Below are 23,606 nucleotides of genomic sequence, written 5' to 3' on the forward strand. Positions count from 1 at the left end.
GTAAACAAAACTTCAGCAAGCTCCCTGTTGCTGTCAGGTGCTGGGCAGACAGTTCTCTAGACAGCCATCACAAAGGCATTTTGGAATGTACTCAGTGACTGGTGGCATGGCCATTCTTTTTCAGTTACAACAAACTTGCTTTCTATTGTCATTTGTGGGTTTCTCATGTTTATCAGAATAAATCGGTACTTGACAAGTTAGGAACTCAACTCTGGGGAGTACTGCTTGAACAAGTTTAGCAGCAGTAAAAGTTTATGATATATTGAATGCAAAAATGGCCCTTGTTCTCCACCCATCTCTGTGTTCGCCTCTTTGTAATGTGACTTTGTAGCTCCTCCCTCACTTCTTGAATCTGGCTGGCCTTGGGACTTGCCTTGGCCAATTGACTGAGATGGCCAAGTGACAATGTATTACTGCCTTACATGCCTCTACTCTCTCAGCCCATTCTGCCAAAGAGCCTACCTAGCCTGATGGAGTTTGAGAGACCACATAGAGAAAAATTAAGTTGTCCCAAGAGAAGCCATCCTAGACCAGCATACAGCCAGATGACTCTCATATATGAGACAGCTCAGTGAAGATCAGCCAGAGACTCCCAACGCGATCACGGCTGCATGAAAATTTCAGCTCAGACCAGAAAAGGGACTCGGCTGAACCACAGACTTGTGAAGGATAGTAAATGTTTATTATATAGAATTTTAGGGTTTTAAAAATTACCAATAGTTGAATAATACAATACTGTTTATGGGGGCACTGCTTTTTGTTTTCTTAAATTAACCTAGCTGCTGTTGTAATCTATAAAAATGCCCTTTCTTTAGTCCTCAGCAGCAGATTAACTCCAAGCCAGTTCTCCTACTTGAACTTAAAACAGATCTTTTACAGCTCCATCATCAGAGCTGCTGAAGCATACAATCTGGAAGGGCAGAGGCCAGATCTTTCTATGCACTGTTTAGTCAGCACATTGCAAATTATCTGCTTCACAAGATCATTCAATAAATATGCCAAATGAATGAAGGCTGAAAGTGCTTCTTGACAAGGAGCAATACATCTAGGGATACTTGATTAATGCTCAAAACATCTCACCATTTTGAAAAGGTTTTCCTTATAACAAAATTCAATTAAAATTTCATTTTTGCTCCTCCTGAGAAGAAAAAATAATTGTGTCTACAAGCAGTAGAGTTCCCATGCAAAAATGAGAACATATTTATAAATGAAATAATATGAAGATAATCATGCCAGAGGATGGCACCTGTCCATATCACTCATCTAAAGAATGAGGCCTTTGAGACATGGCTTTGAGTTTTCATGTGAATGCTAAAGGCGGTTGTATCCACTCATCTATATTTTCTTATCTGAAGCTCCTTTGTGAGCAAGGCCACAGATTTGAAAGATAGCAATCTGAGTTTAGAATTTAGATGCTATGATCCATTCATGGCTCATAAGACTTGGGGTAAAGAGACCAGACTTATTTTATTCAGTGTTGGCCATGTCCTGAGGCTCTATTAGGCTAAGATCAGACTATAATCTAAGGTGGACAGGAAAGAGGAATTTGAATACTCTCGTTTTTCTTAAAAGAGATTCATTCACTTAAAGTCTGGAGGAAGTTCCCTTAATTGATATTCTAAAAGAACTGTAATTTGGAAAATTCATTAGAAAGCCCATGCCTGGCAAATTTTGAGATCAATATTTTCAAAGCATAAATAGAACCATTTGGTATATTTCCAGTGCAACTTGTTAGAGCATGCAATCAAAATGTAATAAATAGTGCCTTAGAAGGCAGGAATATGCTAATTTACATCCAATCTTAAATGCTTTGCTCAACATAGAAGTCAGCCTATATAGTGGATCATATACCTGCTCAGTATCTCAAATAGTTTCTAGGGAGTTGAGATTTGGAAATAAGGATGTTAGTAAGATCCCAGGATGGTCCACGAGATGCAGAGGGTAATTGAGCCGTCCAAGGAACTGGTCTAATCTGATCCATTGTGATCCATTTCCAAACATTCTTCAGTCACTCTGAGAATTCTTTCATGCACATTAATAAGCATTCCTTATTCCTCTACCCCCTATCAAGACCAATATATTACAAAGTCAAAATTCAGTTTTCAATTGAATTTTTAAATTTTTATTTGAAAAATACAATACACAGCAGAGAATTATTTCCTCCCCTACTGTTCTTTCACAAAGGAAACTGTATGGTAAATGTAACTGAGATATTTGGCTAGGATAGATCCTGAGAAAAGAGAGGCCCAGTTAGAAGTGGAAAATACAAAGTCTGTCAAAGAAGATTCACCTCTCTTTTAACATAAAAGAGCCTTTTAAGTTATCACAGGAATCAGATAAAACATGTGCAGAATTTCTGCCATGCAAACAGAGACTACCGAAATTTTCAAGTTGACTAAATTATACTGACCTGGGCCCCAAGTAAGTAGAATAAAAAGGAGATGTTTTTATCAGAAAGATATGTGTTTGCCTGCTTTTACTAGACTACATATGTACATATTTACATGGTAATATTTTCTGAAATATGATTTTCATTATTCTCAGTAACAGCATCATGAATAAGGGCTATTTTCTGGCTTTTGCCTTATTCACATGTATCTTGCCTTTTTCATCTGAATTTTCTTCATGACAGCATCACTCACTGTACAATCTTGAGCCTATGATGTGTAAATAGTAGAGGTGACTTTACTCTGGTTCTGGGTTAAATCTGAGTTTTTGAAGAATTTAAAACTCCTGCATTCGTATCAGGTTTAGCAAGGTGCAAAGAAGCAACCTTGACATAAGAATATATGGCTAAGGCTTCCAACAGGAAAAACATTCCTGCTTGGCTGCTTGGAAGTCTGATGTAGAATCAATAGAACTGATAGAAGTCTGGAAGCCTTACTAGTAATCTAGCTTTCTAAGACATTAGGATCATCCCCTTCACTTTCATTCTCAATAAGTGAATTCCCTATTACTGTTATTGCCTAAAAAATCTTTAAAAAGGGTCAAGACATTCAAAGTTTCTTCATGTTCTAAATTTCCAACAGGACTGAATTGCTCTAGAGGTCTGAAATTAGTAGAAATTTTCTTTTCTTTTCTCTTTTTGGCCCTAGTAGAAGTGTTTTAGCTTCCACAGTGATAGAAATGGGCAAATAACATCTATTTGGGGAGTAATGGACAATCTTTGGTTATATTTATTTGCTGATCTCTGTTGAAATTACAGAGGAAATTAAAAGTTTGCTTTCTTTAGTACTGTAAAGTTTAGAAAGATTCATTTCAGTCAATTACTGCCAAAGTTACTTTGCCATATAAGCCAAAGTTACTTAGGGTAGTTTTAATTATTGCAAAGTTATTGTTGAGGAGCTCACCTTCCTTATATTATGGCGATTGTAATCTGGAATTCTACATGCTAAATGTAAGGTATGTCCCTTGGGCACTCTGCTGAGTGGGAGGCTGGGACCTGGGGGTGAGGGTGGAAGGGGAGATGCTGAATTTAGGCTTCTCTTTCACAAAAAGCCTCACATCTAGACTCTTGATATTATCTTAAAACTGGATTATAATTATTATATAGTTTTATATTTGAAAAGTGTTCATTCTTAAAACATAAACATTTAAAATACAGCAGAGCTTTCATATTTGTATTCTGGCATTTCTTTATTTTTTGAACCATAGGTAGTTGCCCAGGATTCTACTGAGCTCTGAAAGGCCTCAGTGTCCAAAATGAGATGACAGCTGTGCTATATTAGAAAGGAATATGAGTTCAGGGCCAGAAAACTTGAATTTAAGCTTCAACTATGTCTCTTACTAGTTTGTGATTTGGCATGTTATTTACCCTGTCTTGGCTTCATTTTTCTTATCTATAAAAATAAAGCCATACCCTTCATGTTTATACCAGGTTATTATGAGGATTACATAAAATAATTGGTGTAAATATGCTTTGTAAACTATAAAGTACTACACAAATGCAAAGTAAAATACATTAACCATATTTCTAGCATTTATATAATTTAAATTATGTGTCAGGGTATAGTTCTTTCCCATTTAAATTATGTGGAATCTTTAGTAGTAAAAAAGCCTAAGAGTGGAGCTTTTGACCACTCTTGAGACACTGCTACCCATGGGAAATTACTCAATAATAAGGTACCAGTGCTGAATTTACTCATTTAAACTACCCTAAATACTGCCTGCATTCAAAAACAAGTCATGAATTAAGCCACAATTGTCAGGAGAAGAAGTCCAAATAAATAATTTTTAATTATGATACATTACTTATTACAGTAAAAATTGGCATTTTCCCCTTCAAAAGCAGAAGCACCAGTCTTAGAATGTATAGTATGAATAGTATTTTAAGTGAAATATAACATAATATAATGTGGAAACATTATTTTACTATAGAACATACTTTCTAAAAATAAAGTAATTTCACACACTGAAATGTTAGAATGGAAATAATGTCATGCTGAATAACAAAATAAAAACCCCCATGACTTTCAAAGTCCACTTCAAATTAAATATGGCATACTGCTGAATAGATATATGAAGATTAAAAAAATAACTAGCCCAAAATAGAAGGTTTTCATACACAAATACGATTTATGTAGAGATTTCTTTTAACATAATTGCAATGATTCTGTGAGAAACTAAAGTGAATGTTTTATTTAAGAATTTTGTTCATTTGGTCATCACATTTTTGTTGAACACCTACTTTGTGCTAGGCTTTGTTGTAAGTGCTGGGGACACAGAAAAAAAAAGACAATCCTGCCCTCGAGGAGCTCACAGTCTAGTGGGGGAAACAGATAGGTTGACATTGATTTTAAAATTATAAAAATTATTAAACAACTTTATAAACTTCACTTGCAATCAAACAAACTTTGGGTGTTATGAATGGATGGTAAAAAGGGATGATGTCCAATGCAGTGAAAAACCATCTGCTTCGATATCATGTGACTTCTGCGAAGGCAGTGATGTGGTTCTGCAAAAAGAAAAAGGAATGACAAAGTGAGAGGCTTGGGAACATTAGCTTTGTAAAATATGTAGTACCTTTACAAATAATCATTAGCTTATATGCTGAATGTTGAAGTTGCAAAACATCCAGCATTATTAAACTAAGTTTTATGTATTATTACACAATTTTTGCTGCTAATTACATATTTTATTCAATAATCTTAATTATACAAATAGATTAAAATGTTATACCTGCTTTATTCAAAATTAACTCTGAAATTTGAAAAGATAAAAATGGCAATGCCAGACACGTTAATATTCTGTTCAGTGTTAATGGAATTTTAATGCTGCATGTTGGAGTTTCAGATTAATTGCTCCCTGAGAGACAGATGGTGTAGAATGAGATAGTGAAATGCTCAGACTAAAATGGCATTTGCTAGTTGACAAAAATCTACTTAAACACTTCATTTTTGATGCATGAATCCTGACTCCAGACTGTAGTCTCTGTTGTTTACCTCTACCACAGAATTCTTCACAGCGCCTTTTTTTTTTTTTTTTTTTTTTGGGAAATCAACAGAATTATGTACAAAGAAACTCTGTGGAATGCCTAACATTTAAATAGATTCAGGCATGCAACAGGCCATGTCATGCCTGCTGAAATACTGCAATGAAAAACTACTATTACATAATTAATCATGCTACATATGGGCTTATGTCAAGATCTAATATGACTGACAACCCCAACAAATAACATCAGCATTACAAAAGGGTTCTACCATCATACTACCCATTTTAAATGTGTTTTGTATAGTTTTTGTATGGCATTTGCATTGGATTTTTATAACAAATGATATCATAAACAGAATTTCATATGATGAATGTATGCCATAAAATGTTCTCAACATACATATAGCTTTTTTCAAGTTTAAGTATTTTAATTCATCAAAACATATTTAAAATGTGTGTAAAGAAATTAAAATTCATTTTCATTGAATTTAGGCATATTAAACCACACAAAAGGAATCTCATTGACTACAATTTGGGGCATTATCTTCTAGGCTTGACCCACTTAATACTAGAAAAAAACAAAATTAGTACGAATCAGGAGTGAGCAGAGCATGCTGAGTTTTTCCACTAACTCCTGGTAACATTTTAGAAACTTTAATTTCCCATTTAAAAATGCATCATGAAAATGTCTGGAAATTCAGTAGCTCATCTGTAAGTTTTCTTGAGTTTTCCTTACAAAAGCTCAGGCATGACTTCAGGGTAAAGATGACTTGTCAGAGTTATATAATGCACTATGATTGAATTAAAACAATAAGAACTGTGGAAATAATACATCACAGTTTTATTTCCAGTGGCCCCACGGGTACTTGAAACCAGTGAACTGAGAAAATGCAATTCGATATAGAGTGTTTCAGCACAAAACCGTCATGAACATCACACTTCTTAATAGGATCTAGAACAACATAATTTCTGGAAAGATGTTAAGATAGAAATTAAAGATTAATCAGTCAGTGACAACTGGTGGGTAGGAAAAGGGTCAATAAGGGGCAGTAGAGAGAAAAGAAAGGAGGTAAGAAATAACATGGATGGTGTCCCAAAGGCCACTGGCCTAGGCCTCAGGGTTCCCATTGTTGACCCAGATAATGAAGGGAGGGTTCACAAGACTCATTAAATTTGCTGAAGATGATCTTAAGAGGACAACCACTAACCTGGAAGGGAGAATTAAATACACATTAAAGGACTTTAATAAACAGAGAAATAACCAGAAGCAAACCACTGATGATCAATGCAGAGCTTGACAGAAATAGAGGAAAAACCAAGTGCACAAGTGCAAGCTGGACAGTGTAACAAAGAAACTGTAATAACTGTAGGGTGACCATATAATTTATCATCTAAATATGGACATGTGGAAGGGGGAAAAGGGTGCTAATACAACACAAGGACAACAGGCTTAAATGAGGATTGTCCCAAATAGTAATATAAAGTCACCCTATACTGTGGTTTAATGTGTCCACTAAAATGCACATGTTGGAAACTTAATTTCTAAGGCAACAGTGTTGATAGGTGAGGCCTAATGGGAGGTGATTAGACCACTAGAGTGTTGCCCTCATGAATGAATTAATGTCCTTATCATAGGTCAGTGTTTGTTATAAAAAAGCAAGTTTAGTCCCCTTCTCTCTCGTTCCCTCTTTTTGTGCTTCCATTATGTTATGGTGCAGCAAGAAGGCCCTTACCAGATGTGAGCACCTTGACCTTGGACTTCCCAGCCTCCAGAATCCTGAGCCAATAAATTTCTGCTCCTCATAAATTACCCAGATTGTGGTATTCTGTTATAGCAGCACAAAACAGACTAAGAAACCTTAATAATGAGGCATGGATGTATAATTGTAGGTGAGCTATTGAGATCTAGAAAATACTGGAATTCAGTCTTGGCATTTAAAATCACATGCTTCAGTGATCACTAGATCTCCCTTTAACTGCCCATACATTTTAAGCCATAATACTCTTTTCCTATGCAAAAATATCACCAAGTTAAACTACAAGGACAACAGTTGATTTCTAGATTGACTATATTTTTAGATCCTAGGATTCTAGGGAAAACTCTTGCCCCCTCCCCCAAATTAGCATCTTTCCATTTCACATCACTTAAGTTTTAACTTCTGAGGTGCTTTCATTTTTTTCTATTTGACTGGGATTAGAAGTATCCTGCTTGGGGCTCATCATTTTAAGGTAGTTGTAGTTAGCAGACAGATAAACAGAGGAAAATAAAACACTGAAGTGACTATGCCTAGGGAAGAGAAAATTAAGGGGAAATTTAATCATAGTACATGAAAGGAGTGTACAGACAGATCAGAGAGCTTCTGTTCATTTACTTTACTGTTTAAGAGCTAATGAACCTATATCATAAATGAAAGAGATGGATTATTTATCTCAGTAGTTTTTTTTTTTTAAGTTTAATTCACTTCTGGCACAGGGGTGATTTTCCCTGAAGCAATCTAAAGAAGCGCCAAGATAATTACTTGAGGTCCTTTTATAAGAATCTATCATATGATGGTACATTATACAACTTACATTACCAAGGTATGTACATGCATAATTTGAAATATACAGATGGCCTAATTCCTGTGCAGGAAGTTATTGTCTATTCACTTCCCAGCAGTATTTTTCCCATTAACATGGAAAACCAGAATTGTGTTTAATATTTTCAGATTGCTGTCTTGAGAAATGGACTGCCTGTGAGGCAAAGTAGTTGACCAAGTGTTTCTCTTTTTCAATATGGCTAAATTCTGAATATGCAATACTAAATCTTTTTAGTAGATGATAGTGCAAAAAAGCAGTAGGCAAACCAAAAGCTCATGCTTAAAAGTTCTATTCAGAATCATGAGAAGAAACTGGTCATATAATTTTTTGTCACAATTCCTGGTACCTTCTGCAATTACATTAACAGAGGCTTACCATGGAGATGACAAAGCTTGACCCCAAATAGTTGTAGATTAGAATATGCTACATGAAGCATCCATTAGAAAGTGTTCACTCAGGTGCACAGCAAACCACTGAGCAAAATACTGAGTCTGGTCCTTGAGTGCAGGGGTCACAAGAGAAAGCAAACACGTTTCTGGGAAGTTGTACTGGATACTTAAATTTAATAAATTTTAAAGTCTCTATAGCATGTCCATTTTAAAAGCTCTAAGTTCTGCATGAAAATCTCTATTTTACTATTTATTCTACACCTCCACATAGAAAATACAGTCTGTAATTTAAAAAAAAAATGTTAATTAAGACAAAACTGTCACGATTCGTGGCACGAAACTTTGGTGATGACTTGCCATCTGGCAAGACCTGTCACTCAATCAACAAATAAGGGGAAAAGTATGAGAAAATGCAAAAAGGGCACTCCAGGGAAGTCTTTGGAATTACAGCTATAGGAAAACAAGTAAAATGCCATTATTAATGGCTTCTTAGTTAAGGAATGCTAAATTCATATTAATGATTGAAAAATAAAATGTATTTGAAAGATTAATAATTATAACAACAACAACAGCAACCAAAAGCTCTAGTTCCTATATTGCTTTTGGTTGTAAGGAAAACCTGCACAGAAGGACACATTTTTCTGTATTTGTCTTAGCTTTGCAACCCAATTCCAACACCAGTGCGCTCCAGCGCACATACGTTTATTGCCTTAATTGAAGGTGTTCACAGTGGCTTATTCCCATTATCCAGCTGAAGAGCCTGGCAAGACAGTCTTTAAAGGACCTTTCCTGTGAATTTTCTTCTTGACCATTCTCAACAGGTTGATTTTGGCACACCTACAAAATGTGTTTTACATATTACTTAAATGTTTATTTAAACATTGTCTTAATTTATTCAAAGTACTGGTTTATTTAAAGTTCCATGTTCTTACATCGTTAGACCAAATGCTGAGATTAAATATTATTCCAGTTTCATTCTTTCAAGATGATTGATGATAAAAAGCTTTTGTGTTTGAATAGGAGAAGCTATCAACAATCAGCATAGGGTTTTAACCTAAACATAAAATGGGATCTGTGCACCTGTCTTTCATGCAATGATTTATGTCTCTGACTCTGTTGCTGCGGAAGCTGTGTGGTACAGTGGTCTTTGCAGTCAAGTCATCTGAATGTCAAGTGTTTAAATGTGGTCTCCATCACAAGTGAAATTTTAGCAAGCAATTTAACCTTTCACAGACCCAGCTTTCTCATCTGTGAAATAGAGATAAGAATACATACTTTTTGAATGGATTTTTATTAACATTAAATGGGATTATATACACAAAGGTCCCTGTCCCTACTCAAACTTATTCATCATTTATTTATAGTTACTTATAAAAGCCACAGAAACAGCTAAAAAGGAAAGTTAAAAAAAGAAAAAGTAAAATAAATAATTTTTAAGTAATTGGTTAGAATTTTACAAATAAAGCTCACTATTTGAATATAAAATACACTATTCTACCGATCTTCAATGCTCATATCCAAACAAAGTTTAAAACCCAACAAAATGTTTCTTTTAAGATTGATGCAAACTCATTTGGTGGCAAAACCTGATCTGTTGTGAGGCAATTTATACTCCATGTTTTGCTGCAGAAATACTCATCTGTGATTACAATTGTTGCTCCAGATGCTGCTTGTGTAACCAAATATACATATTCCTAAAATATAAAATATTTTGAATTCTGTAAAAACATCTGACACTAAGGATTCTGGAGAAGGAATCATGGTCCAATAAATTAACCAACAATTCTGACATAGCCTACATTGCATCAGGAAAAGATAGGTGGATGTCATAATCTCGAATATTGTCCCTGTTTATTTTGCGATTTGCTTCTTTAACGCATTCACTTGCTTCATTCACTGTGTCCTTTGAGGAGGGGAAGGTGAGCAGAAGAGAGGCAAAAAGCAAAGTACATGGAGTATGTGTTCGAAGGTTCTACTTTGTCACATTGTTTTCCTTCTGGTAGGTTGTGAAGTTGGTATTTTAGTAAAGAGAAACAATGTTAGAACTATTTAAGAAGAAATTAGTTAAACTCAGATTTGAAGCTGTAAAACTGATTCTAAAATGTATGTTGAGCAATTTCTTGTTGTTTTAAGAAGTTGGAGACATAAAAGCTATCATGTGACAGAACCAAAGTTTTCTTGGGAAAGGTGACTTTTTTGGGGGACTATTAACCTTTCTGTACAGTGGTTCTGTTTCAGTTCAGAGTTTTATATTGGTTCAGAGTTTTGTTTCCATTCAGAAGTTTCCCTTTTTTTTACTATTCAGAGAAAGGAGCTAACAGCTACCTTCTAAAAGAATCTCTAGGCAGCTTTCTCTGATAATTAAACCAGAGGCAGGCCCAGTTTTTACGAGAGCATTAGCTACAGATCTTATGAAGTCTTTCCAAGTCCTGAGAAGCCAAAGAAGCTTAAGGCTTTTCACACCAGATCTTTAGAGGCACTGATTCTCTACTGTGGCTTCATGCTGGAATCACCCAGGATCTTTAAGAAAATACTGATGCAACCCCAGAGACCAGGATTTAATTGGTATGAGGCATGGCCTGGTTACTGGAATTTTTGAAGGCTCTCTGGATGATTGTAATGTAGAGCCAATATTGAGAACCACTGTGTCAGAGGTTCTGCAGGCCCAGCTGTATCCAGATCAAGTGCTGACTCCACATCCGGATCACCTGATATGACTGATGTAGTACAAGTCCTGGGGCCCAAGCCCAGGCCTTCTGGATCAGAATGTCTTGGTGTGAAACCCAGATATCTTCTCTTTTTGCAAGTGCCACAAGCAATGGATTGTCTTTTATGCCAGTCTGAGTACCACTGCCTAAAGGTGAAGAAAGTGATTAATGAAGTAAGCATTATCAGGGATGTAAAATCAATTCCTTCTTTAAGATGCTGTCCTTTCACTGGCAAAAGAGTATTGCTTAAAAAATCAGTTAACTGGAATAATTCCAAAAAATAAATCTTTGAATTCAAGCCTTTTGACATTAACTGCACATTATATGTCATGCTTAGAGTTACACAATGCATAAAAGTGTTAAGAAGACCTTCAGAAAATACCTGTTTATTTCACTTGTTTTTTTTTTTTTTTTTTGAGACGGAATCTTGCTCTGTCGCCCAGGCTGTAGTGCGGTAGTGAGATTTCAGATCACTGTAACCTCCGCCTCCCGGGTTCAAGCAATTCTCCTGCCTCAGCCTCCTGAGTAACTGGCGTTACAGGTACACACCACCACACCCAGCTAATTGTTTGTTTCACTTTAACTCAATGTTTCCCAAACGTATTGACATGAAATTTCATGGAAGTCTATGAATACTAATGTGTTTATGGTATTTGGTGGATATGGGTATCCATGCACTTTGTCTTCTAAGTTTGTTAACCTCCTCAACTATAATAACCTTCCTCTCTACCACACTTTTATCCCTTATTCATAGCTATATTCTCAACCAGTAATCATGTTTGAAATGTAAAATCCCAACTTAACTCCTGTCTTACCTCCCTCACACAACAAGGTTTCTTTGGCCATGAGGAAATTTCCTGACTACTAATTTATCCATCTGTTCCAGTCTATCATGCTCCTTATGAATTCCGCTTCTTTTTCACTCCTTCTGGACCCTACAGTTGATCATAAGATCAATCTTTAACAGCATCCTCAAGTTTCTTGCCCTCGTGCCCTTATCTTGCCTGCTAAACAAAACCGTTGCGTGAGCTGGATTCTCCAGCTGGACCATTCTTCTCTCTTGTCCTCACTTGGCTCATGGTCCTGAAGATCTCCCCTAAGATGACGTTTCAAGCATTGCTAAGTTCAGACAGGTCTCCCTTTATGTGTTCCTCCAGTATAGCCATCATCATCTTCTGTATATGGTTACAAAATTCTCTCTCTCCCCACGAGACATATCATAGTGCTCTGTATTTAATATTTGTTACATTTCATATATTACGAATCTGATTATAAATAAAATTTCACTATCATAACAGCTGATGATAAGGTAACTCAACAGTAAATTGTATCCATGCCTTGTTTTATATACTAATACTTTAACCTATAAAATTGGCTTCTTCTTAGTTATTTCATTTTCCTTTAACTTTTTAAAATGCTTTAGATTTACTAAATAAGCAACCTAACACTACTTGACAGAGAAGAATCGGAGGATGTGGATAATGGACCAAGTGCATGATAAATTCTTGTAGAACCAGGAGTTGATTAAAACTCCTCATTTAAAAACTTGCTTATTTTCACAAAGAGGCACCACTGATAAAAATCTGAATGAGCTACATCAAGATTCATTTCAGAACCATTCAAAATCATAAGGGCCATTAGAAATGACACAGATAACTTGAAAAATGTTTTATAAAGGTAAATATATGTTTACCATACAACCTGGCAATCTCACTGCTAGGTATTTATCTAAAAGAAATAAAATATGTGTACTCCCAAAAAACTGTATATGAATGTTTGTATCAGCTTTATTCATAATTGCCAAAAAATGGAAATAACCCAACCTTCAATTGGCAAATGGATAAACAAACTGTGGTGCATCCATACAACAGGATACTACTCAGCAATTAAATGGGAAAAACACAGACTACAGATGCATGTAACAAATAAGTCAGACTCAAAAACTCAAAATGCATGAGTCCACTTATATAATATCCTGAGAATGGCAAAACGCGAGGAACCAAGACAAATCAGTGGTTTCTCGAAGTTGGAGATTGAAGGAGGGATGACTACAAAGGGGAAGGCTGAAACATTTGGGACTCACAGAAACATTCTCTGACTTGATTATGGTGATAATTTCATGAAAGTATGCATTCATCAAAACTCATAAAGCTATACGCCAAGGAAGGATGTATCAGGATGCAAATTATGCTTTAATAAATCCAAATTAAAAAAAATTAGGCCCACCAGACATAACATGAAGTCTAAAGGCCAAGACATGTCTAAAATTTGGTGTGTCAGTTATTGAATTATTGTTTTATCATCTGGTTGTTTCAGTACGAAAGAAAAATACAAAATAAGTTTATTGAAAAATATTCAAAAATATAAATTGAAATGAGAACTTTATTTATTTTTTGCCTATAAGATTGTAAAAGTTATGAAGAACAATGTTCTCCATTGTTGCAGAGAACATACAGATATGAATTCAACCAAAAGCCTTAAAAGTGTTCATGCTCTGTTTCTGCACTTCTATGTCTATGAATTTATCTTAAATTATTAATTGAGCTTACAAAAATATATATTTAAGGAACATTTACCTTAGTATTACTTATAATTGTGGAAAATTGGAAGTGGAAGCAATAATCTATGTCTAACAAATATAATGGTTAGAGAATTTATATGGATTATAACTTTTAATAATATAATCTTATAATATCATGCAGCACAGTGATTATGATTTGGAGCTCTAAAGTGACAAATATGGAACATATTTCTTTGAAAATGGAAATTAAGGATTCATATTCTTGTTTCAGAACACAGACCAGTTGTATGACCTTGGATGTATTACTTAACCTATGTCCCTTTCTCCTTAAAATGGAAATAAGACACACTCAAATGACTTCACATATTTTATATGTGAAGTTCTCTGCATAATTCCAAGCACATATTAAGCTATAATTGAAGATTAGCTTTTAATAGTATGCCTGATATGACTGTTATATTTATGGATCTGAAATCATATCTATGATGCATTGTTATGTGAATAAAGGCAATAAAATATACAGGGAAATTCTGTGTTCAACACAAACTCATACACACGTTCATTGGGTCTTGAAGGTTATTTTAAGAATGTTTCCTGTGATTATTGTGATGACCCCATAGATACTTCCTATTCGTTTTTTGTTTTGCTTATTCAGATTTTCAGATCATAAATATATGCAAATTATTTACTGATTTCTTCTTTAATCAAAACTATGAAAAATAAACTGCTTGTTTCATAAAACTGTGAATTGAGTCATTGCTTATTTACCTAGTTTTAGTCAAATAAAATTTAATATTTTTTCAACAAAATGTTTTCACAGAACTGCGATCCTCTGATTGATTTTGAAGGCCCTCCATAGTGTCTCCAGGATGGTCTCCAATAAGGAAATAGACCTGAAAAAAGAGGGAGATGAACGGCTGGGATCAGGTTCCCATCCATGTGTAACTAATTATGTGTGCACTGGAAATGATTTTTAAATCTATCATTGATTATTCTCTCCTTAACTAATGACTGAATGAATCATATAATTTAAAGATACAGTCATCAATTCTATATTTATTCACATAAATCAGATGAGAAAGCTTCTAGTCTATATTCCAAAGTAATTTAATGAAAGATGCTTTTATAAAAGGCCTGTTAGATAACTGAAGGGAAAAGCTGTCTTTTATTTTTCATGTAGTATGTAATAATTCATAAATAGTGTGGAAAAATTGATTCTGAGTATACTGGAGTACAAATAGGAAAATGACATATGGCAAAATAATAACAGAATGTGCCAGTATTTTCAACCTAAAATGTTGATGCCTGTTGGAAATTTTTAAGCTTCCACTTTCAATTTCCTTTTTTTAAACAAAATTAAATTTTACAAATGAGAACACAGTATAGCATGTAAATATTGACTTACTTCAAATATTTTTAATAAATGCTCAAAGCCTAGATTAAGAAAAATGCCTAAATATGAACATATTTAGTTCCACTAACTATTCCAATATCTAATCACTAATAAGATTGTTTTGACAAGGTCCTATATAACATTTATATTACAGTTCAGCAGCTCTGTAAAACAAAGATTTGCATTATAGAAAATCAACTGAATCTTAAATAGATTGCCAGAGTTACTCACGCACAGCATTCTGAAACCTCAAAGGAATTTATCACAGGGAACACAGTAATGTATAATCATATTTGTCTTGGCAAGAAACCACAGGATTGTTTTGCTATTGCTATGACACTAATATATGCAACATTTTATACTACAGTATTTCCTGCATTTGTGCGATGTATGAAATAGACAATATCTGTATAAACTTTTAAATCCATGAAGTCTTTGTATGGGAGTATCCTAGTGTGAAATTAAAAAAAAAAATCCCATTAAAGAAATGATTGTTGCGGGAGGGAACTAACTTGTGTGAAGCACCTACTATGTGCCGAGAAGTTTATCTGTGATGTGTTAATTCCAACAATTATCCTACAGGGAAACCATCATTGTATCAATTCTTCAGATAAGGAGAGAAGTGATTTGTCTAACTCCACTTCATTATTATGCAGCTGAACCAGGCTTCAAACCTAGCTGCAAAATCCAAGCTCTCTGTCCACCCATCACTCTGACTACATTCCAGTTCACATTTCACCATGACCACTGTAATCTTATAAAATCTACAAAAGAGTCAATCAATGTAAAGTTCAATTCCTTGGGTCACCATGAGCTCTTTCAGAACATTCCTATCCATATAATTTTTTTGGCAGTTGCCATGGGAATTAAACATGGTAATTTTCATCTGTAATAGTACATCCTCATTATAATATTTCTAGATTTTGGAGCTATCGTCACTTCTTATCACTTTCACTCAGCTGATGTTTCTGTTAAAAGGGGTGTGCTTTTACATGATGAGCTTCATTGGGTAGTATAGGTTGGTGAAAAGCCCCTTATCCTAAGTATAAAACTGAATCTTGTAAACTATTCCTATCATTACTTTCCCTTTTTTTTTTTTTTTTTTTGGCAAGAGAGAATTCCCTTTGGTTCAATTGATTAGGAGCACATCAACCTAAGAAAAAATAATGCCTGGGTTTAGATGGAAAAAATCATTTCCTCAAAAAGCATTTTCAAATTAGCCAGGAGTGGTTATTGTGGCCTGCTGTACCTGCCTTAATAAAACTATATGGATATTAATTTCCCTTAGATCTACTGGAAATATCCCATTTTCTATCAAATCCTATTCATCCTTATATTTATTTTTAAATATTTTTGTTCTTTTACCAGATAAAGCCTTTTTCTCTATATTTTCTATATGGCATCAGTTAAAATGGATAATTCATATATTATCTCCATGTGCTGACCTATGCCAGTCTCATAGACCCAGCACTGGCCCTTGGAGTGAGAATAAGCACAGGCAGGAGAGAGAGAAGGACGACAGAGCTCAGTGCTTTGCTGTTGGGGTGACTGCAGTCTGACCTATGAGGATCATCTGGAAGGACTGCCAATGCACACCTTATCTGTTAATTACAAAGGAGAGGTATCCGTGAAGAAAGAACAGGGAAAGGCCATAGATGAAGGATCAGCATATACTATGGGTAGGGGAGAGGGATGGTTTTCTTAGTGACACTCTGGCTGGGAGCCCTTTTCTACTGTAAATCATGAGGTGAGATAAGTCCTCTAAATCAGCACCTAACAGCAGACTTTGCCAAATGACATCTCATCAGTCAAAATGGCATAACATGCTGGGCTTTACTAAGATTTAGTAAGCATCATCTGCAGCATTCAACTGGATTCTTACGATAGCCTTTCCGATTCTTTTGTTCTTCCATGCTGCTCTCTTATTCTCCTCTCTGAACAAGCCATTTAGGAATTAAACTACTCACTTTCTTAAAGTCCCTTTATGGAAGGACTTTAAGGAAGTCCTTTTTGGAAGGTACTCAATTGCTTACAGGATAAGAATCAACTTCTTAATGTTGCATAAAAGATCCTTCATAACATTCATACAAGGTCACACAGAACACTTTTCCATGTATTTATTTCCTAATTGTATTTGCTCTCTAATGATTTGTCTATTCATGAACTTTACCAATTAGGATGTTTTCTATATTATAGACATCAACTTTTTGACATGTGTGTTGTTTACATTTTATACTTTGTAATTGGCCTTTTATAAATCATTTTAAACTACTCTTGGTAACTTATTTTTTAAAATGCTTGAACATTTTTCCTAGTTAGCAATGCTAAGAATGAAGCAGTGATAATGAGTCCCACCTTTATGAAATCTGGAGAGTCTTGTACTTTAACATTTTTGCTGGTATTATCTAGAATTTGTCTCATTTTGTCATCTTAGATAATTTTCTTTTCTTATATATCTTCTACTTAAATTTTATAGTTTTGTACAGTTTCTGTTACTTTATTTTACCACAGTTAAATCTAATTAAGTTTTATATTTAAATGGTTTCTATTCTTTCTGCCAATTCATTCATATCCTAATTTGATCTCTAGTTACTGGTATATTACTCAGTTAATTGCTAAACATTTTCTGTACTTTTTTTGTGATTAGTTTAATTCCTAAATTCTTGCATAGCTGATATTTTATGGTTATTTTAATACTTAAATGACCTTTTGGGTGGAAATAGGATTATGTCACAAACTAATTCCTTGAAAATTCTGAAGACATTACTCCATCTAGAATAGATAGAGTAGGATAGAGCTTGCATCCAATGTTATGCAGACACAAGTCTGAGACCAGCATGCTATCAGCCTTGGGTAGGTAAACAACTCTTTCTGTCATTGTGGTTGTGTTAGTTTTCACTAGGTAATGCTATATACCTAGTATATATACAGTGTATGTATATATACAGTGTGTGTAATACTATATACCTAGTATATACACAGTGTGTGTATATATATATAGTGTGTGTGTATATATATATATAGTGTGTGTGTATATATACAGTGTGTGTATATACACAGTGTGTGTGTGTATATATACTAGGTATATAGTATTACCTAGTACTATATATATACATATATATGTATATATATACTGTATAACAACCCAAAAGGCTCAGTGGCTTCCAACAATAATATTTATTTCATCCTCATACTACATGTTGTTGGCCAGGTTCTATGGATCTGCTCTAGGCCACAGGTTGGGGGCAGGTTGGCTTCTCCTGTCTTTCCATTTTACAGCCCAGGCTGAGGCAGCAGTACTTGTCTGGAAAATGATCTTTTCCTGCAAGAAGGCAGAAGCAAGAATACCGGCAGAAACTCGTGACAGCTCTACATGTTTCTGATTAATGAAATTTATATCAGGTCTATTCACATGTTCTTGACCAAGTCCAAAGTAACTGGAGTAGGAAGAACACTCTGCCTAAGGAAGGAAATAGCTAACAACTGGGAACAATACTACTACCTATCACGGAATTTATAGGGTTCTTTCTCCAGTACTGAAATTCAAAAATTTCACTGAGAAACATCTAATTCCAATATATATATTTCAATAGTTGTTTTGTATCTGTTTAACCCTTCCATCTTAAAGATTCAGGTATTTATTTGGAAGAAAATTTCCTTTAAAGTATATTTCTGAATATTGCTATTGCCCCATTTATCATCTTCTTCAGATACAATGATTCATATGTTAGGTTTCTGTGGTATGTCCTCCATATCTATGATCTTTTCTCAGATATCAATTTAATTCTCATTTTTTATTATAAAACCTGTCAGTAATATAACCGTCAACATTTTCCAGTGTGGACTTTGTTCTTTATGGTTTCTAGTACAGTTTTAATCCCACCACGGCATTATTTGTTTTCTTATATTACATTTCTGATGTGTCAGCTATCTTTCATCTGACATTCATTTCATATGTTTTCTTTAATTTCCTTGACTGTGGAAAGAAGATGCTATCTAAAATAAATTTAATTGTATTTATTGTAATCCTTTTTTTTTTTTTTTTCTGATGAAGTCTCACTCTGTTGTCCAGGCTGGAGTGCAGTGCCACGATCTTGGCTTGCTGCAACCTCTGCCCCCCAGGTTCAAGCGATTCTCCTGCTTCAGCTTCCCAAGTAGCTGGGACTACAGGCACATGCCACCATGCCCAGCTGATTTTTGTATTTTTAGTAGAGGCGGGGTTTTGTCATGTCGGCCCTCGAACTCCTGACCTCAGGTGATCCACCTGCCTTGGCCTCCCAAAGTGCTGGGATTACAAGTGTGAGCCACCGCACCCAGCCAAATTTCTTGTAATCTTTTTCTTTTTCTTAATGCTCTATTAAAATATCTCTTTCTCTCTATTCTGTGTCATTTTAAAGGATTTAAGTTCTTGTCCTGATTATTCATGCTTGAAATAGGACAGATTTAGCTCAGTTGATTTTCCTAAAATGAATGGGAAAAGATTCATCAGTTATCTCTTAATGATAACCATGAATTGCTAGGGAATCCTCCACTTAGATCCTGAGCAGAAGAGCTGGAGGATGTAGTTTTATGTCATCAGTCTGAATGGATTGTGAGAAGCTAAGACCATGAGCATTTTCAGGAAGGTCACTTTGTTTCTATACAATTTTTTGTTGTTTGTTGAAACCAGGAAGACTACTGATTAGTTCAGTCTAACTTCTATTCCAGGAGTATGTGCAATCCTTGGAGGCAGCTTTTGGTTTTGGCCAAAGGTAACTTCCCATCCAGGTGTGGGGTACCTATCCAGTTCACAAAAGGTTTCCTTCATCTGGCATGAACCCCTAATAGTGAGAAGCCTAATCCAAGGACAGCTTCTTGTCTGAGAGCTTTCTTTGGGTAGTTGCTTATTTGCTAACTCTGTCTCAAAATGGTGTTGATCCAAGGTGTTGAGACGTTCTGTAAATGAAACGGACTCCTTATTCTGTTAGAGATTGCTCCTAGCTGCCATTCTCACTCTGGAATTTTGGGACATTATTGAGGCTGCACAGAATTTTAGCTACCTGTACAGCACTGTAGTTCTTTAGGAGCAAAGGAAAAATGGAATTGTCCTTTGTGGGATTTCCTAAAACTGGATTTATTTATACCATATCTAGTCAAAATGCCAAAAAAAATTTACTGTAGTTTTCACTCTTGGTGACACAGCTATAAAGATATTAATTCCTACATTATTTTTGATAATATAGGAGTGTAAAAGTAATGAAATGTAAACGTCTCCATCTCTATTTCCTAGAAAGAGTCAGAAATTTGTTTCTTGGACTCCTAAGGATAATTAATATAGTTTTTGTGTCTTGGAGATATCCTGAAGCCAGCAACACCAGTGCTTTATTTGAGATATGTGGGCCATTGAAGACTAGAGCCAGAAAAGCATGAATTTGAGAGAAAGGGATGGTGTGACCCATGAGGAGATTTGGATCCCTGGGTCCTTGGGTGGATGGGGGGTTTGTGGATCCTGTAAATGACAAGCACCTGCACACAGCTCATATGAAAGGCCCCAGGGCTAATGGTACCTAAAATGGGGATGGCTGCAGGTGCCACAGGAAGCTGAACCCTGGGCATGAAGGTGTGAGAGCTATCGCCAAGATTTCCATGCACAATTTGGCACAGAAAAACCAAACACTTTCAGAAAGGTTGTGTGAGCCCTAAGGAAGTACAGGGTTTTAAATTACCCTGGGGGAGTTTTTCTGAGGGCCTTTTGTCAATCTGAACATATCAGCAGTCAATCCAATGAGGAAGCACTGGAACCTCCTTAGAGAGCAGCTTAAATAATTGAAAAAATTTTTAAAAGATAATGATTTTCAGTCATAAAATTATTCAGGAATAATATAGTATTTCATTGTAGAAAGAAGGAAAAGAAGGAAGGAAGAAAGGAAAGAAGAAAGGAAGGAAGGGAAGGAGGGACAGAGGGAGGAAGGAAGGGTCAGGAATGTGGATAAGGTCATGGTCCACTAACCTCAGTTGCCTCCTTAAGTTTAAGCATTGCTCTGACTGGTGTCTGTTTCCCCCTCCCCTCCCTTCCCTTCCCTTTCCCTCCCTTCCCCTCCCTTCCCCCTCCCTCCCTTCCCCTCCCTTCCCCGCCTCCCCTCCCTTCCCTTCCTTCTTTCTGTTCTTTATTCTTTTCTTTTCTTTGTTTCTCTCATCCACATGTTCCTTTCTATACTACTAAAGAAAAATAGATGGTATTTCGCATAATTGATTTTATTATATATACATTTAATATACATATAAAGTCTTTTTTAAAAAAACTTTCTGATATATATTGGAAAACTTTCCATGTTTTGATTTACCTCATCCATCTTAGCTGTTAAATAATAATTATAGTTATGATTATTAAGGGTTTCACTGGTACCAGACACAGTTTAAGTGCTTTTACCATTAACTTATTGAACTCATATGATGATCAGTTTATGAAAGAGAAAACCAAATCACCAAGCATTTAAGTGAGTTGCCTAAGGTCAAAATTATCCAAAATTCTCAGCTAGTTTGCATCCAGAACCTACGAGCAGAAGCACTACACTACAATGCACTGGATCCCATTGATTTAATAATTCACTGCTCATATATATTTTAGCTTATATATTTTAATATGACAAGCAGTCATAAAAAAGTTACTAGTAACCTGAATATTTAGTGGACGTTGGGATGCAACGGGCCAGTTTCCACAGATGATTAATTCTTTTCACAAACCAAATGTAATGAATGTTCAGATAGATATACTTGTCTTCCAGAAAAATCAGGACTTTTCCTCATAAACTATGGTAATTAACTATATGAAAAACTCCTATAATTAAGGGATAAATTGCTGGCATAAAAATAACGAATACTTGTATGCTATACTATAATTACACTGCAGCTTACAGTTTATCAAACATGTACTTTGAACATAAAAGGTTATATAAGTACATAACTTCTAAACGAAACCCTTTGCCTTCTCCATACAAAAGTGACAACCAGAAAATGACAGCTTGGCATAATAATGCTAACTCTTGGCCATACTTGCAGACCAAACTTTCACACCAGACTCCCTTACTTTTTTCAGAGGGCCAGCTTTAACGTCTAATGTCACTCTCCAACTATCAGTTATTAAGATCAAAGTACTGGGAAGAATTTTGCATTTACTTGTTTACTAGTATGAGCCATAATGAATCCAATAAGGTGAGTACTCAGTGATGTTGACAGGCCTCTTGGAAATGAAGTTTAAGTAGAATGAAGTATAATGAAACCAATTTGACCACAGGCTAATTGATATAAACAGGAATTAAGTTTCTATGGCATATTTCTGGTCATAAAGACATCACCAAACTTCTAAATAAAGACCAAAATGTTTCTAGTATAAAACATTGGAATAAATGTGATTATACATACATTTAAGAAAGATTAATAAAAACAAGCATGATAATTATCTGCCCAATTATTTCAGTTCAGGGTAGCAGATGGCCAGATCCTAGCATAGCCACTCAGGGCACAAGGCAGTAACCAGCCCCGGACAGGATGCCATCCCACAGCAGGTGCACTAACACGCGCACATCACACTCACCCACACTGGGACCATTTAAACATGCCACTTCACCTAATAGGTACATCTTAGGGAGGTGGGAGGAAAACAGGGTAGAAAAGCCATGCAGATATGGGGAGAATGTGCAAACTCCACACAGACAGCAGCCCTAGCCAGAGAGTGTTTTTTTTTTTTTTTTTCTCATCGGTGTTAGAAAGAAATGATATTGAATGAAACGATGTAATTCAAAGACCTGCTGTGTATTTATCCCAAATGCTCCTTATCACACACACAAAGAGAAAGCTATTGTAGGCTTTCCTTAAGTGGTAGCCTTCCTCCCTTTCTGCCTGATGAACACAAATACATGTCCTCTCAGCAGCACAGTTACAAAGGCAAGCCTGAGATGTATTCTCAGCACCTGGCCTTGTGGTCATCCCATGCTCTGTGTGAGTGCAGGGGACAGAACTTGCACTGTGCAGACAGCATTCTGCCTGGGAACAGGAATAAAAAGATGGGAGAGTAAAGCTGGAGCTCAGCAGGGTGTGGTGCCAATGCACTATAGTGAGTAAGGGGGAAACCAAATCAGATTCAAACCATTTTTATTTCCTAGCTACCGGAGTGAAAACAGAGCACATAAATTTGTTATGAACCTAAAAATTAATAAAAGAAACATGCCACTTAACCTAATATGTACATGAATACATATATTAATGAATACTCATCTGTAACAATTTATAGATGAATAGAATTTTTTTGCTTTTACTGTCTAATATTTCAAAGCTCACTATAAATAAAAATGAACTAGCATAACATCAACAAGAACCTTTTAAATAATTTAATAGATACAATGATGTAATGATATATATGAATATTTGGCAATACTAGAAAGCTACCAAAAAACACTCATGCAAATAAATGTTAAAAAGTAGATGGCAGTGATTATTATTGAAGTTAATTTCAGAGGTATACAAAATGAAAAGGTTGTAATAGTTACCCTGACCATATTATTCAAAATATGTCTAAGATCTCTTCCTATATTTCACAACCCTTT

At 35.3% G+C, this 23,606-nt stretch overlaps 1 protein-coding gene across 3 annotated transcripts in view; it reads right to left on the bottom strand.

Annotated features, from left to right (window-relative positions):
- Nucleotides 1-2,094: 2,094 nt before the first annotated feature.
- The window catches only part of PLPPR5 (phospholipid phosphatase related 5), a 115,542-nt gene continuing 94,030 nt past the window's right edge, over nt 2,095-23,606 (bottom strand). For all 3 annotated transcript variants that reach the window (XM_011540838.4, NM_001010861.3, NM_001037317.2), the window contains one exon: nt 2,095-4,954. In XM_011540838.4, the coding sequence (XP_011539140.1) occupies nt 4,922-4,954 (33 nt within the window). In that variant the 3' untranslated portion in view covers nt 2,095-4,921. The remainder of the gene's footprint in view (nt 4,955-23,606) is intronic.

The sequence above is a fragment of the Homo sapiens genome, chromosome 1 (assembly GCF_000001405.40).
Source record: "Homo sapiens chromosome 1, GRCh38.p14 Primary Assembly".
Taxonomy (NCBI): domain Eukaryota; kingdom Metazoa; phylum Chordata; class Mammalia; order Primates; family Hominidae; genus Homo; species Homo sapiens.